At 42.9% G+C, this 15,800-nt stretch overlaps 1 long non-coding RNA gene and 1 pseudogene across 2 annotated transcripts in view; both read right to left on the reverse strand.

Annotated features, from left to right (window-relative positions):
* Positions 1-15,800, reverse strand: part of LOC102724701 (uncharacterized) — a 441,766-nt gene that overhangs the window by 82,377 nt on the left and 343,589 nt on the right. The window lies entirely within an intron of this gene.
* LOC124904987 (carboxy-terminal domain RNA polymerase II polypeptide A small phosphatase 2-like) lies at positions 11,938-12,800 on the reverse strand (annotated as a pseudogene).

Raw genomic sequence — 15,800 nt, forward strand, 5'->3', positions numbered from 1 at the left:
CCAGTCCCTTAGAGAAGCATGCAGATATCTTAGCAAGTATCTGGAAGGTGCAGATCAGGGCAACCCAGCACCACTGATGGTGGAGTGGGCCTACCTCCCATCAAGCTGTGTCTCCACAGCTGACCCTTGAAGCCAGGAGGTGATTTACAACATGTGCAAGGCAGTGAGCTCCATCAGCTGTGTGGCCTTCAACATTCACTTCAACTCGGACATCTCACCAGAAAGCAGTGGGGACTGGCCAATGCAGAAGCCTGCAAAGTGGAACAGAGCGTCATGGGGTGGGGGATGTGGGGCCTGCCTGCTCATCTGAGCACTGCTCCCTGAGGGTGTGATCTGCAGGCTTCCTGAAGGAGGGCTGTGAGCTCATCTGCGAGGCCCTGAGCCTGTGGAACATGGCTGAGGCCAAGCCCATGGGGATTTGTGTCTACTTGCACCTCCTTGCTCATCTCAGTACACTACAGGTGACTGTGCCGAGGTGGGCCTTGAGCATCCCCTGGGCTGTGTTAGCAAAGGGCTCTGGGCCTGGCCTGGCATTGAGGGATGGCAAATAAGGGGCCTGGGGTTGCATTGTCACCCCCTATGGTAGCATAAAATGAGAGAGTCCGACCTGCAGGACTGGAACCCTATCAAGGGGGTTAGGAGGCTGCTCACTTTCCCTCAGGGACCCATGTGGAGGAGCTGAGGGAGGTTAAGGAGACCCTAGGGACTCACTTGTTCTGTCTGGGCTTCCCTCTGCTCCATCGTTTGATGACCATTTTCTGGGAAGAGCTCAGGAACCTCCTGTGCTCTAGTGAGACGGGGCCTCCCCTCACAGGGTATTCTGAGACTGTGAGTGAGAAGCTAACACAGTGCCTTGCAATACTCACGGGAGCTGTCATCCTCTGTGACCATCACGTGGCCTTGTAGTGTTCAGACTGCCTGGCCTGCCTGGGGTTTGGTGAGGCTGTTTTGTGGTCAGCTGCTTTAGAAGCTCACTTTCTCTGCAATCAAACAGTGACTGTTTTCATGTCTGTTTATGGGTTTAAAAAATCCTAATATTTCCTTTATAGTAGTTTCAGCTTGCATGTGTTTATTTGTATAAATTTTAGTGGAATAAAGAGAGCTTAAGACAACAGCATTTTAAGGTCTTAATGAGGCATAGACTTTCATGTCACAACAGCTAATGTTGACCTCTGTTTGCTACCTTTGTGTAAAGTATACACATAAAGTACAGCCAGAGGTGACTAGAGCTGAGCTGCTTGGGCTTGCTTGCTGGCCTGCAGTCAGGTGGACTCTGGCTGCAAGGCGGTGCCCACCCTGGATCTACATCCCCCACTCTCTCTCCTTAGTCTCTGAGTAACCAACAAGGCCGTGCTAATGAGCGGGCGAGTGATGGGCATCGCGTACCCCAATACTATCTGGGAAGATTTGAATGCCAACTGGGCTGGAGCTGTTGGGATTAGGGGCTGTGGCTGCCTTGGCTTGTCATGGTGCCACCCACAGATGTGCCTGCCCTGTGCTGCTTCTCCAGCAACCGGCTGCCCATGGCCCTGAGCCTGTCACACCATGCTTGCTACCTCATGCTACTTGTGTTTGAAAAACCCATCCAGAGATGGCATTGCTGGATGTGAGTGCTGAAAAGGGGGCAGCACCTTTGTCCTGGGGGATTAGGAGCTGACCAGATTCCTCTTGACTCCCTCCCAGAACAAGAGGGGCAGGTGCTGCAATTAATGATGCCCCCCAGAAGATGTGTTTGCACTGGCTGAGGGAATACACGATGCAGAGACCTAAATGAAGACACGTGAATGGGGTGTGTGGGCATCAGTTAGCAACTGGGAAACAGGTGCCTCTCAGGCCTCTCGTGCTCCAGCAAGAGTGGAATATGCCTGTGCCCATGAGTGTAGACATCTGGAGTGTATACATTTGGCTGCTGCTTTTGCTGCCACTATCCCCAGGTCCAACCTGGCTTGAAGTCCAGGTTTTAAGTAAAAAAATAGGAGGCTTTTTGCCATACAGCTACTTGAGAGGCTGAGGTGAAAGCATCACTGGAGGCTAAGAGTTTGAGGCTGCAGTGACCCATGATTCAGCCACTGCACTGTCAGAGTGAGACCTGCGTGCACCCTTCTACAGATAATAGCTCTGGGGCATTTGGGGATCCCTACAGTCCGGGACATCTCCCTGTCCCCTGCTGCCTGTGCTTCTTCCCTTGCCTGCTGTCAGAGCCTAACATGGAGGAGGAGGTTGCTGCCCTGTGAGCCTGAGGGAGCTGTGTCTGACTGGGACTTCTGTCTGGGGTTTTGTGAAGAGCTACTTATGAGTATGGTCTGTACAGATACCTTGTTTCAAAGAAAGTGAGCATGAGCTAGCAAGTGTAGCCACCCCACAGCTGATAAACAACTTTGTCTTGTTTTTAAATCATCAATCTTCATTTCACATTGGAATAAAGTAATTGAAGCCTGCTACCCCAGCCTCGCCCGTGTGTTCTGTAACCCAGACTCATTTCGTTGTGTGGGCTGTTGTCAGAAATGTTATAAAAAAAATTACGCATAAATAATATCAAATGTAAAATTATGCTTATAATGTCACTTGAGTGGGTGGTAAGAGGGTAGAGTCACAGGAAATCTGTTGGGGTTTACACCCCTGATACTTACCAAGCTCATGAGAGTGTGGCAGAGGTGATCATCACCTGACATTTGTGGCAGAAGAGAAAAGTCCAGCCTGAAGGCCAGGTAAGGGAGAGGTGCCAGGTTGTGGGGCCAGGCCCTGCGCATGCTGGGCCTGTTATGTCACTGAACATCTAACTGCCCGGGAACCGGCTCTTTTCACATCATCTGAGGTAAGAGGATGGAGAAGCACTCTCCAGAAGTCACACTGCGCTGGGAGAATAGAGGAGAGCCTACAACTCACCATCCTAAGGTAGGTTTTACATTGAGCTGAACTGTCTTCGAGAGCTAATGAGATGGGAGGAAGACAGTCCCCCAGGTGCACCTGACAGCCAGAGCCTATGAAGTTAGGGGGGTTGTGTGGGGGTGGCCTGTTCCTATGAGAAGAGGAGCTTAAAGCTACTAAAGCTGGTGGCTGCTGCTCTGCCATCCCTCTACAGAGCAGGCAGGTCCTCAGCTGCATGTATAGCTGAATGTCTTTTGGAGTGTTAGAGAGTCCTCTATGTCTTAGAAATTTTGAAAAGAAAAACAAATCTCAATTTTAATGTTGATTAGTTTCTCTGAGCCAGTTGGGAAAAAGATGTCCTTCACCTCAAAGATTTAAGTGACACCGAAGGGTAGCCACCAGTGTCTCGGCCACTGAAGCCTCATGCATGCTCTCACTACCAGTTTGATTTGCAGCCCCATAGTTGTGTTGTACTACATATTCTTTCCTCTGGCCTTGTCCAGTGAACACGGTTCACATGGCTAACACCACTTCTTGAGATGCGAGCACCATGCAAAGCTGAGAACGGATTGGGTTTTGTGACGATTGTGCCTCCTCCTCACCTGAGAGGCCCATTTTTCCTGGTTGATTCATTAAGTGTATTAGTGCTGTCAGTCGCCTCTGGACAATTGAAATGACAAGTGGCTGTTGATTCATAAAGAAAATGAAGGCTTTAGATGTGAAACCCTCGTTTTCTCTTGTCCTTCTCTTAGGTGAAAGATTTTATTTTTTTCAAAAGGCTACATACTGGTATCCCAGCAGGTGTAGTGTGAGAACTGGCATATGTTAGGCTATGGTGTCAGTGTGGATGGGCAATTCTTCAAGATGGAAAACCAAGTCTCACTGAGTTGCTGGAGCCACAGTGACCTTTCTCCACATCCCCCACCATGGGCTTTCACTTTTCTCCTGTGCTTGAATTTTTTTCACATACAAATTCTTTATACACACACACAGACAGACACACACATATCTCACTCTGTCAATGCAGTGGCTGAATCATGGGTCACTGCATCTTCAAATTCTTAGGCTCCAGTGATGCTTTCAAATCAGCCTCTCAAGTAGCTGGGACTACAGGCATGCAAAGCTACACCCAGACAATTTTTAAATATTTTTCTAGAGACTGAGCCTACTTATGTTGCTCAGACTCGTCTTGAACTCCTGGGATCAAGCGATCATCCCACCTTGGCCACCCAAAGTGTTTAGATTACAGGTATGAGCTAGCACTCTCAGCAAAAATATATTTTAAAGAACCGTTACAACCAAATTATGAGTTATCATTATGCCACTGCCCTCCAGCCTGGGCACCAGAGCAAGACCTTGTATCCAAAAACTAAGCAAAACTAAGCAAGAACAAAAAAAAAACCTTATAACTAAATTAAACTTTGAAGATTGTGTCATCTGTGTCCTTCCCTGCCCTCCAAGCTATCAATGTTAAATATAATGGTTATTGAGAAAATGGTTAGATATTATTAAGAAATTTCTATATATCCTCCAGCTGAGAATAGGTATTCTGATGTGGCCCAAATATTTTCTCACCGCTACCTTCAGGGTCTAAACTAGCAAGTCAGGACACCTGCAGAGGACAGTTGACCATTTTCAAATAGAAAGAGAAATACCCCGTTCATGAGAGTAATCCAGTGATTTTCAAAAAGACAAGACACACTGACATCCAGCGCAGTCAGGGCACAATTACCTTGGAAAAATCACCTCACACAGAATGGTTGAGGAGACTTTCTAAGGTGAGCAAATTTGGGAAACATAATCCTTTCTTATTTATTTCCAGCCCCCGCTGCCCCCCTGATTCCTAATGGTCACACAACAGTGTGGTCAGCAGTGGGGTGCAGTGTTGTGAGAGAGGGGCTCAGGGATGGGATGAAGGTCTTTACCGCGTTACAAAAATGCAGGTTAAAAAGTTGCTAAAAAGATGTCTAAATATTCTAATTCGTACTGTTACATAGCTGCTAAGATGCATTATACAACAGACCCAGGTAAGGGAAAGAGCACGTGCATTTCAAGTCTCAGCTCACGTCTGAATTAGCTGTGATACTCTGGGCACGTGACCCCAAATATAGGAGCCTGTTTGCCTGTCAACCCAAAACAATCCTAAGCAAAAACAACAAAGCTTGAGGCATCCTGCTACCCGACTTCAAACTATACTACAAGGCTACAGTAACCAAAACAGCACAGTACTGATACCAAAACAGATATATAGACAAATGGAACAGAACAGAGGCCTCAGAAATAACATCACACATCTACAACCATCTGATCTCCGACAAACCTGACAAAAACAAGCAATGGGGAAAGATTTCCTACTTACCAAATGGTGCTGAAAGAACTGGCTAGCCACATTCAGAAAACAGAAATTGTACCCCTTCCTTACACCTTATGCAAACATTATCTTAAGATGGATTAAAGTCTTAAATGTAAAACACCAAACCATAAAAACCCTAGAAGAAAACCTAGGCAATACCATTCAGGACATAGGCATGAGCAAAGACTTCATGAATAAAATACCAAAAGCAATCACAACAAAAGCTAAAATTGACAAATGAGATCTAACTAAACTAACGAGCTTCTGCACAGCAAAAGAAGCTATCACCAGAGTGACCAGGCAACCTACAGAGTGAAAGAAAATTTTTGCACTCTATCCATGTGTCAGAGGTCTAATATCCAGAATCTACAAAGAACTTAAACAAATTCACACACACACAAAAAAAAACCATCAAAAAGTGGGCACAGAATATAAACAGACTCTTTTCAAAAGAAGATATTTGGCTGGGCGCGGTTGATCAAGTCTGTAATCCCAGCACTTTCAGCCGTGGAGGCAGGTGGATCATGAGGTCAGGTGTTCAAGACCAGCCTGGGCCGCATGGCGACACCGCATTTCTACTAAAAACACAAAAAATTAGTAGGATGTGTTGGCGGGTGACCTGTAATCCCAGCTTCTGGGGAGGCTAAGGCAGGAGAATCACTTGAACCTGGGTGGCAGATGTTGCAGTGAGCCGAGATCCTTCCACTGCACTCCAGCCTGGGTGACAGAGCAAGACTCCATCTTAAAAATAATAATAATAAGTAAAATAAATAGAAAAAGAAGAAGGAGAAGGAGAAGAAGAAGAAGAAGAAGAAGAAGAAGAAGTAAAGAAGAAGAAGAAGAAGAAGAAGAAGAAGAAGAAGAAGAAGAAGAAGAAGAAGAAGAAGAAGAAGGGGACCTTTATGTGGTCAACAAACACAAAAAAGAGAAAAGCTCATCATCACTGGAGACTAGAGAAATGCAAATCAAAACCACAATGGGATACCTTCTCACACCATGTTGAATGGCAGTTATTAAAAAGTTAGGAAACAACAGATGCTGGTGAGGCTGTGGAGGAATAGAAACACTTTTACACTGCTGGAGGGAGTGTAAATTAGTTCAACCATTATGGAAGACAGTGTGGTGATTCCTCAAGGATCTAGAACCAGAAATACCATTTGATCCAGCAATCTCATTACTGGGTATATACCCAAAGGAATATAAATCATTCTAGCATAAAGACACATGCACTCATATGTCTATTGCACCACTGTTTGCAATAGCAAAGACTTGGAACCAACCCTAATGCCCATCATTGATAGATTGGAAAAAGAAAATGTGGCACATATACACCATGAAATAATATGCAGCCATAAAAAGAATGAGTTCATGTCCTTTGCAGGGACGTGGATGAAGCTGGGAACCATTAACCTCAGCAAACTAACACGGGAACAGGAAAGCAAACACCATATGTTCTCACTCATATGTGGGAGTTGAAAAATGAGAACACATGGACACCTGGAGCCAAAGATCACACACTAAGGCCTGTTAAGGGGTTGAGGTCAAGGGGAGGGAGAAAATTAGGACAAATACCTAATGCATATGGGGCTTAAAACCTAGATGGCAGGTTGATAGGTGCAGCAAACCACCATGGCACATGTAAAACTATGTAACAAACCTGCACGTTCTGCACATGTATTCCAGAACTTAAAAACAAACTAACAAAAGTGCACTAAGTCTGAGGGGGAGTGGGGGTAAGGGCAGGAGTCAGGCGAGGGTGGGTGCGTCCTGGAGTTTTATCCAGTCATTGACACTGATGTGGGAACCGCCCAATCAGGCGCGCGGTGGCAGAGGAGAGGAAAGGAGGGCGTGGCTTCCTGCATTTGGCGGGATCTGTGTCTCTCGCTGGTGCTGGCACAGGAGCTTGGGATCTGTCTCCTCTTTCGCCTCCTGCACCTTGAGAGCCCTGGGCTACTCTGTCACAGCCCCTGTTGCCCTGCGATCTGTAGGTCCTTGGGGACGCATAGTTAAGGTGCCAGGACATCCTGGAAGCTGGGAAATGGTGAGTATACGGGGTTCGCCATCCCGAGAGGGGAGAACAGACTGTGAAACCGGCAGGACCGGCCTCCCCACGGTTAGCTCCGAGTCTCCCGCAGCTTGGCCCTCAGTCCCCTGTGGCTGCAAGATGGCCGCTGGGCCAGCAGCGAGGACCCCCACGTCCCGTCCGGCCCATCCGGTCCTGTCCCTGGGCAGCGCCCTGCTCTGCGCCCACAGCCATGAGTATTTCCCAAATTGTTCAGGGAGGCCAGATGGGTCATCAGGGAAAAACCGCGAGTGGGTGTTTGCGTGGGAGGAGCTGCGGCCCGTGGGGTCCACAGTCTCTCGTGTTAAAAATTAACGGGAGTCTATGTTAAAAGGTTCATCAGTTTATCTGAACAAAGAGTGATTGGTGAAATGGAAAGCACCCAGCCATGATTTCTGGTCCACCAGAGGGGCATAAAGGAAAGGCTTTCATAAGATGCATGAGAAAGCAACCCAAATTCAAGAATTGGTTCCAGTTATATGGTAGCCTTATTTGAACTATCCAGATGGAAATGTCCTGGTTACATATTCAGAGGTTAATTGCATGTTTGTCATGGGTTAAACCTGCATTTTGCTTCAGGCTAAGATAGTGTTTTATAGGAAATATATTTGAGTTAGGTTTTAGATTTTTTTTTGTTTGTTTTTTGTTTTTTACCTATGAACACAGGGCACTAGAGCCACTTTAGACTAATTTTCTGATCTTTAATTATTTTAACACTCCAGAGGAGGACTGGTTTTCTCCTGTGTTTTTTTAATGTATGGCAAGTGGAACCTCTAATCGACCACCCTGTTTTTCATCCTAACTCAGGCTTGCAGTAAAATTATCAGTTCCCACTTTCTTTGCTGCATTCTCAAACGCAACACATGAGACCAGCTTTCCCTTGCCAATTTACAATGCTGTTAACTATATGTCCTTTATTATACATTTCGTTAAAGTTTTCTATTATTGGGTTTCTTTCTACTTCTCCCTACAGTTCTGGCAATATTTGCTTTTTATATTTAGAAGCCTCCCTTTTGGGTGCATAAATATATAAAGCTATATTCTCTTGAGAAATTAACCTCTATTATTGTATGGTAAACTCATTTCATTCTTGTGAGAGACATTGCTAGAAAGTCTATTTTGTCTAATTTAAGCATTACCATTTCACTCCTTTGGTTATTATTTGCATGGAATATCATTTTCTATCCTTTCACTTTTAGCCTATGCTCTTAATTCATAATTGAGTCTCTTGTAAGCAGCATATTATGAGGTTTAAAAGATTAATTTATCCACTCTGTCTGCTTTAGTCTCTTTTGGCTGCTATAACAGAATATCACACACTGGTAATTAATAAAGAATAGAATTTTATTTGACTCATGATTCTGGAGGCTGGGAAGCCAAAACAACATTATACTGGTATATGTTGAAGGTCTAGTTGCTGGATAATAACATACACAAAGATGTGAGGGAGAGAGAGCTTTTTTTTTTTAATATATAACAGATCCATTCTTGTTATAATTAGCCCATTCCCATAATAAGAACGTTAATCCATTCATGAGGGCAGAGTGCTTATAGCTTAATTAATTTTTAAAGGTTCCACCTGTTAATTCTAACATGTTGGCTATTAAATTTTATCCTAAATTTTGGAGATGACATTCAGTGTACAGCAGTATCTGTTTAGTAGATACTTTAATCTTTTTATTTGTAAGGTAGTGATAGGTAAGCAGTTACTATTGTACATTTGTAGTTTTCTGTCCATTTTAAGTTTGCTTCTTTTTTTTCTGGTTCTGTCTTTCCTGTGGTATTGTTCATTTTTGTTGAGACAAAGTTATGCTTTCTTGCTCAGACTGAAGTGCAGTGGCATATCACAGCTCACTGTAGCCTTAACCTCCTGGGCTCAAATAATCGTCCCACCTTAGCCACCCAAGTAGCTTGGACTGCAGACATGTACCACAACACCCAAGGAGATTTGATTCTTCCACCTTGGCCTCCCAAAGTGTTGGAATTATAAGCAGGAGACACCATATCCAATGTGTAATTTTTGTTGTTTGTGTATGCTTTAATTACTTTCTCTTTTTCTTTACTATTTTTTTTTCCTACTGGTTATCATGAGACTTATGTAAAACATCTTGTATTTTAATAGTCTAGTTTAAGATGATAACAATTTATAGTATTCTGAAATTCAGTATGTATTTACCATTTTAGTGACATTTATACTTTAGTATTTTTCATATTGTTAGTTAGCATTTCATCATATCAATGTGAAGATTTCTTCCAGACCATGGCTGGAGAAGGAAAGAAGGTGTGTTTTGCCTGATTCAGGGACTATAGAGAGAACCAAGTTCTGCAGGCCTGTCATCTAAGTCTCAGGTGAGTATGAATTCTCTTGTGTTTTCCACAGACTGTTGCAGTGTCAGGACCAAGGTCAAATGAGTTATAGCCAAGTCTACAGTAAGATGTGGCAGTATTCTGTTTTGAAGCGAGGACCATGATTGGCAAGCTTGCCACTTGGTCAAGTGCTTACCCTCTAAAGATGTCTTCCTTGGTCTTTGCCTCCAGCTGGGTGTCACAAACTCTGAACTGGATTCCAAGGCTTTCATGAATGCACTTATGTTTGCTGTGGCAGCTGCATTATGTCGTGGGGGATGTGGATGCAGAACCTCCCATTCTGTCGTCTTGCTTATGTTACTCTCCTTTATGTTTCACTTTCTCAAATGAATGTCAAGCAGGTGATTTTCAGATTCAAAAGTTCTAAAATAAATTGCTCAAATTTACACATTATGTAAGCTGTTAATAAAATTTCTTGTAGGTGCTACATATTTATTAAAATTTTTGGTTGTAATTTTAAGCTCACTGTAGGCAGAAAGGAATCATTAAGATTTCTATTCTTTTTTAGTCTGTATCTAAATGACCATATATTTTAATTCCAAATATTTACTTTATACTTCAGTAATGCTCATTGTATTTTGCAAAATTTATATTGTTCTTTTATTTGAAAATATAAGGCTTTTTTTAGCTCCTGAAATCTATATTATAGTCATATAGTTTTATTATAGTATTTGATAAGAAGAGCAGCAACATATTGAGAACAGAATAAAATTCTGCTGTCTTTTTAATGATTATTTATTAAATTCTTCTCATTAAAGCCTATTATTAATGATTGTAATGTATTTACTGTATAATTTTACTGCAATTTATTAAATGCCAATGACTTCTAATGTCTGCTTTTCATGACTGCACACAGTTTAAAGCTGTAGATATCTAAAGGGTTATTTTTCAGCCCGGCACGGTGGCTCATGCCTGTAATCCCAGCACTTTGGGAGGCCAAGGTGGGTGGATCACGAGGTCAGGAGATCAAGACCATCCTGGCTAACACGGTGAAACCCAGTCTCTACTAAATATAGAAAAAATTAGCCGGGCATAGTGGCGGGTGCCTGTATTCCCAGCTACTCGAGAGGCTGAGGCAGGAGAATGGCGTGAACCCAGTAGGCGGAGCTTGCAGTGAGCCGAGATGGCACCACTGCACTCCAGCCTGGGCGACAGGGTGAGACTGTCTCAAAAAAAAACAAAAAGGGCTTATTTTTCATTGTATATTTATGTTGTATTCAGGATTTTATGCATTAAAATCTCTCTTCTTATTTTCAGTTCTGTGTTGTTGTGTTTCTTTTCTGGGGGGGTATGTTTTCTCAGAGCAGTTAATTGTATTTTTGCTTTTAAAGCTTGATATCATGAGTTGAATGATAATTTTTTAACTCGGTACACATTATGACAATGTGATATTTAATTTATATTTGAATTAGCTGTGTTTGTTGCTTATAGATATATCTATGTGTTTTTCACCTATGTAAGTATGTCATTTTTTTCATCTTTTTTCCTTGTTTTTTTTTTTAAGTTTCAGATATGCTTTCTTTTTCTTTTTTTTGTTTTTTTTTTTTTTAAAGAGAATTTTAAAACAGAGTCAAATGAACAAAAATCAGTTATTTGTCCTCTTGCAGGGCGGGGAGACCTTCCTTCCCCACGGGTTTGAGGCTATGGCTAAGTGGTGAGCCTTGGTGAGACGCAGAAAGGATCCATCCCAGGCACTTGGCTAGAGGTAAGTAAAAATAGCCTTTGGGCCAGAAGACCTGATAGTTTGGGTACTCGTCTGGACATAAGTCCCCATCTTCCCAGAAATGTCGTCTTTTGTCTGCAACAACTGGCTGGAGAAATATTTCAGAAAGATGTGTGCCTGGAACACCCAAAGGCATACCTTTCCTTTCTCCTTGGCATAGGCCTTGCAGCACTGAAGAAAGACCAGGTTTGCAACGGAGCCTTCAATACTCTTCATCCCTATGGATCTCAGGGGCTCATAGGGTGACAGGAGAGGAGACAAGCTAGCTTGGGAAGAGTCTTTGTCCTTCAGCTTCTCCTCTACTGAAACACTATATACTTGGGGCCACAGTTCATAGCAAAACACACATGCTGTCTTTCTTTCTCTCACACCCCCATCTCGGGAACCCAACAACTTGATGGCAGGTAGCTCTGGGTATCCTTGGTCTGGCATTCACCCACTGGGCATCTAAGCTGTCCTAAAGCTCTTTTCAATCACTTCTCACTGTTTCCAGGCCCATGTGGGTAGGTGTTCCAGCCTTCACTCTTTCAGGCTGTTCATAAAGGCACAGTGTGGGAAAATCCCCTACTGTGATGGCCATTGCTGGGAAGCAGGGAAGGTTAAGGGCCCACTGCTGCCCAAGGCTAGTGTAGACACCCTCTGCTCCTCCACTCATCTCCTCAAATAATGATATCAGGTGCAGCAGCTGCTGTCTGGAATGTTATCAAACCAGGACTGCACAGGCACTGCATTCTCTGTGTGGAAGATGTAAGAAGCAGGCGAGTTGTCCAGGATGAGTTTTCCTCAGGTCCCTCCCCAGATGGCTGACGTCCTTGACATAGCAGCCCTGGTGAAACAAACATGACTCATGGGACAGGCAGCCCCAGACCATCCCATACCCGTCCAGCTCACCCGTCACAGGATCTGCCTACTTGTTCAGGCTGGGAAGAAGAGAGCAATGACGAAAACACATTTAAACATTTCCTCCATTCATGTCAGGAACTCATCCATATAAGGCCTCATGAGCACATGGATCTGGTGCATGGTCCCCTCAAGCTCTACAGGCACTAGGCAGTCAGCATTGCTGATTGGCTTAAAGGAGCTATGCACAAGGGTTTCATCCAGGTCAGTGACCATACAGATCCTTCCTTGATTTTTCTCTGTCACCTCTGGGAGCAGGCAGGTTCCTGGGATCTGATAAAACTGATATTGGAGACGCTGGAGCTGATCCGACATAGCAATGGTGTTGACTCCCTCCTTATGTGTGGATTGCTCAGCGGGGGAACTTGACTGTCCAACATGCTGGGTGCAAGAACAGCAGAAAGGGGACTTTTAAGATGTGGCAAACATGAGGCCTCTTCGGAGAGGACTTTGGAAACCAGGCCTTGCTTGGTAAGGACCAGGGCATCTTCCCTCCATGCCTGGGTGATGATGGAGCCTTGTTCCATCTAACAATCCTGAGGGCTGGGCTGGGGGGCATGGGCTGGGGCCTGATTCAGTTCCCGAGATTCTGACCTCCACAGCTGTTCACATACCCCTTCTCCTTTCCATACTGGCCGGGAAGGGAGGTGGCTTGTAGGGAGGGTGGTTGGCCTTGGCAGCGGCTCCCCAGTGTGCCCCCATCCCCGATTCCCCCAGCGAGAGCTTCAAGATCCTCAGTTTGGGTCTAACATAGAGAATCCACCAGAAACACATTTTTTTTTCAAGTTTTATTTTAAGTTCAGGGGTCCATATGTGATAAAGTTTATTTTTCAACTTTTATTTTAAGTTTAGGGGTCCATGTGCAGAGTATGCAGGTCTCTTACATACATAAATGCGTACCACTGTGGTTTACTGCACAGATCATCTCATCACCCAGGTACCAAGCCCAGCATCCGCAGCTATTCTTCCTGATGCTCTCCTTCCCCTCCCCCATGCCATGAAACAGGTGTCCAGTGTGTGTTGTTCTTCCTGATGTGTCCATGTGTTCTCATTGATCTGCTTCTGCTAATAAGTTAGAATAATAATAGGCGGTGTTTGGTTTTCTGTTCCTGCATTAGTTTGCTGGGAGTAATGGCTTCAAATTCCAACCATGTCCCTGCAAGGGACATCATCTCATTACATTTTATGGCTTCATAGTGTTCCATGGTGTATGTGTACCACATTTCCTTTATCCAGTGTATCATTGATGGGCATGTAGATTGATTACATGATGTTGCTATTGTAAATAGTGCTGCAATGAACATTTGTATACATGTATTTTTAAAATAGAATTATTTATATTCCTTTGGGTGTAATGGTATTGCTGGGTCAAATGGTAGTTCTGCTTCTAGGTCTTTGAGGAATCTCCACACTCTCTTCCTCAATGCTTGAAATAATTTACACTCCCACCAACAGTGTAAAAGTGTTCCCTTTTCTCCACAACCTCGCCAGCATCTGTTTTTTTTTTTTTTACTTTTTATTAATAGCCATTATAATTTGTGTGAGATGGTATCTCATTATGGTTTTGATTTGTATTTATGCAGTTATCAGTGATGTTGAGCTTTTCATGTTTGTTGGGCACATGTATGTCCTCTTTTGAGATATGTCTGTTCATGTTCTTTGACCCTTTTTTAATGGGGCCTTTTTTTTTTCTCTTGTAAATTTTGTTAAATTCCTCCTAGATTCTGGATATTAGACATTTGTGAGATGGATAGGTTGCATAATTTTTCTCCCATTCTCTAGGTTGTCTGCTCTGATGATAGTTTCTTTGGCTCCGCAGAAGCTCTTTAGTTTAATTAGACCCCATTAGTCAATTTTTGCTTTTGTTGCTATAGCTTTTTGCCTTTCTGTCATAAAGTCTTTTCTCATGCCTATATCCTGAATGGTATTATCTAGATTTTTTCTTCTAAGGGTTTTATAGTTTTGGGTTGTACATTTAAGTCTTTAATCCATCTTGAGTTAATTTTTGTACATGGTGTTAAGAAGGGTTCCAGTTTAAATTCTCTGCATATGGCTAGCCAGTTCTCCTAGCACCATTTTTTGAATAGGGACACCTTTCCCTAATTCCTTGTTTTTGTTAACTTTGTCAAAGATCAGGTTGTTGTAGGTTTTTGGCTTTATTTCTAGGTTCTCTACTTTGTTTCATTTGTCTATGTGTCTGTTTCTATACCAGTACCATGCTGTTTTTGTTACTGTACTCTTCTAGTATAGTTTGAAGTTAGGTAGAGTGACACTTCCAGCTTTTTTTTTTTTTTTCTTAAGGTTGGCTTGGCTATTTGGGCTCTTTTTTGGTTCCATATGAACTTTAAAAGTTTTTATTTTTCTAATTCTCTGAAGAATGTCAGTAGTTCAATGGGAATAGCATTGAATCTATGAATTACTTAGGGCCATATGCCCATATTCATGATACTGATTCTTCCTCTCCATGAGCATGGAATATTTCTCCATCTGTTTTGTGTCCACTCTGATTTCTCTGAGCAGTTGTTTGTGGTTCTCCTTGAAGAGGTCCTTCACTTTCTTTCTTAGCTGTATTCCTAGGTATTTTTTTCTCTTTGTAGCAAATGTGAATGAAAGTTCATTCATGATTTGTCTCCCTGCTTGCCTGTTGTTTGTGCATGGGAATGCTAGCTACTTTTGCACATTGATTTTATATCCTGAGATTTTGCTACTGTTGCTTATCACCTTAAGAAGCTTTGGGCCTGAGACAATGAGGTTTTCTAGATGTAGGATCAGGTCATCTGCAAACAAAGATAATTTGACTTCCTCTCTTTCTATTAGAATACTCTTTATTTCTTCCTCTGGCCTGATTTTCCTGGCCAAGGCTTCTGATACTATATTGAATGGTAGTGGTGAAAGAGGGCATTCTTTTCTTGTGCCAGTTTTCAGGTGGAACGTTTCTAGCTTTTGCACATTCAGTATGATATTGGTTGTGGGTTTGTTGTATATGGCTCTTATTATTTTCAGGTATGTTTCTTCACTTCCTAGTTTATTGAGAATTTTAAACCTGAAGGAATGCTGAATTTTATTGGATGCTTTTTCTGCATTTATTGAGATAATCATGTGGCTTTTTATTTAGTTCTCTTTATGTGATGAGTCACATTTATTGATTTGCATTTGTTGAATCAACCTTGCATCCTGGGGACAAAGCCAACTCCATTGTTGCAGATGAACTTTTTAATATGCTGCTGGATTTGGTTTGCCAGTATTTTATTGAGGATTTTTGCACAGTGTTTACCAAAGACATTGGCATGATGTGTTGTTGTTGTTGTTGTTGTTGTTGTAGTATCTATGTTAGGTTTTGGTATCTGGATGATGCTGGCCTGATAGAATGAGTTACAGAGAACTTTGTCTTCAATTTTTTTTGGATGGTTTTAGGAGAAAAGGTACCATCTCCTCTTTGTACCTCTGGTCAAATTCAGCTTGCTTGGTAGGCTAGTTATTACTGCCTCAGTTTCAGAACACATTATTGATCTATTCAGGGTTCAGTC

The sequence above is a fragment of the Homo sapiens genome, chromosome 21, assembly GCF_000001405.40.
Source record: "Homo sapiens chromosome 21, GRCh38.p14 Primary Assembly".
Lineage (NCBI taxonomy): Eukaryota > Metazoa > Chordata > Mammalia > Primates > Hominidae > Homo > Homo sapiens.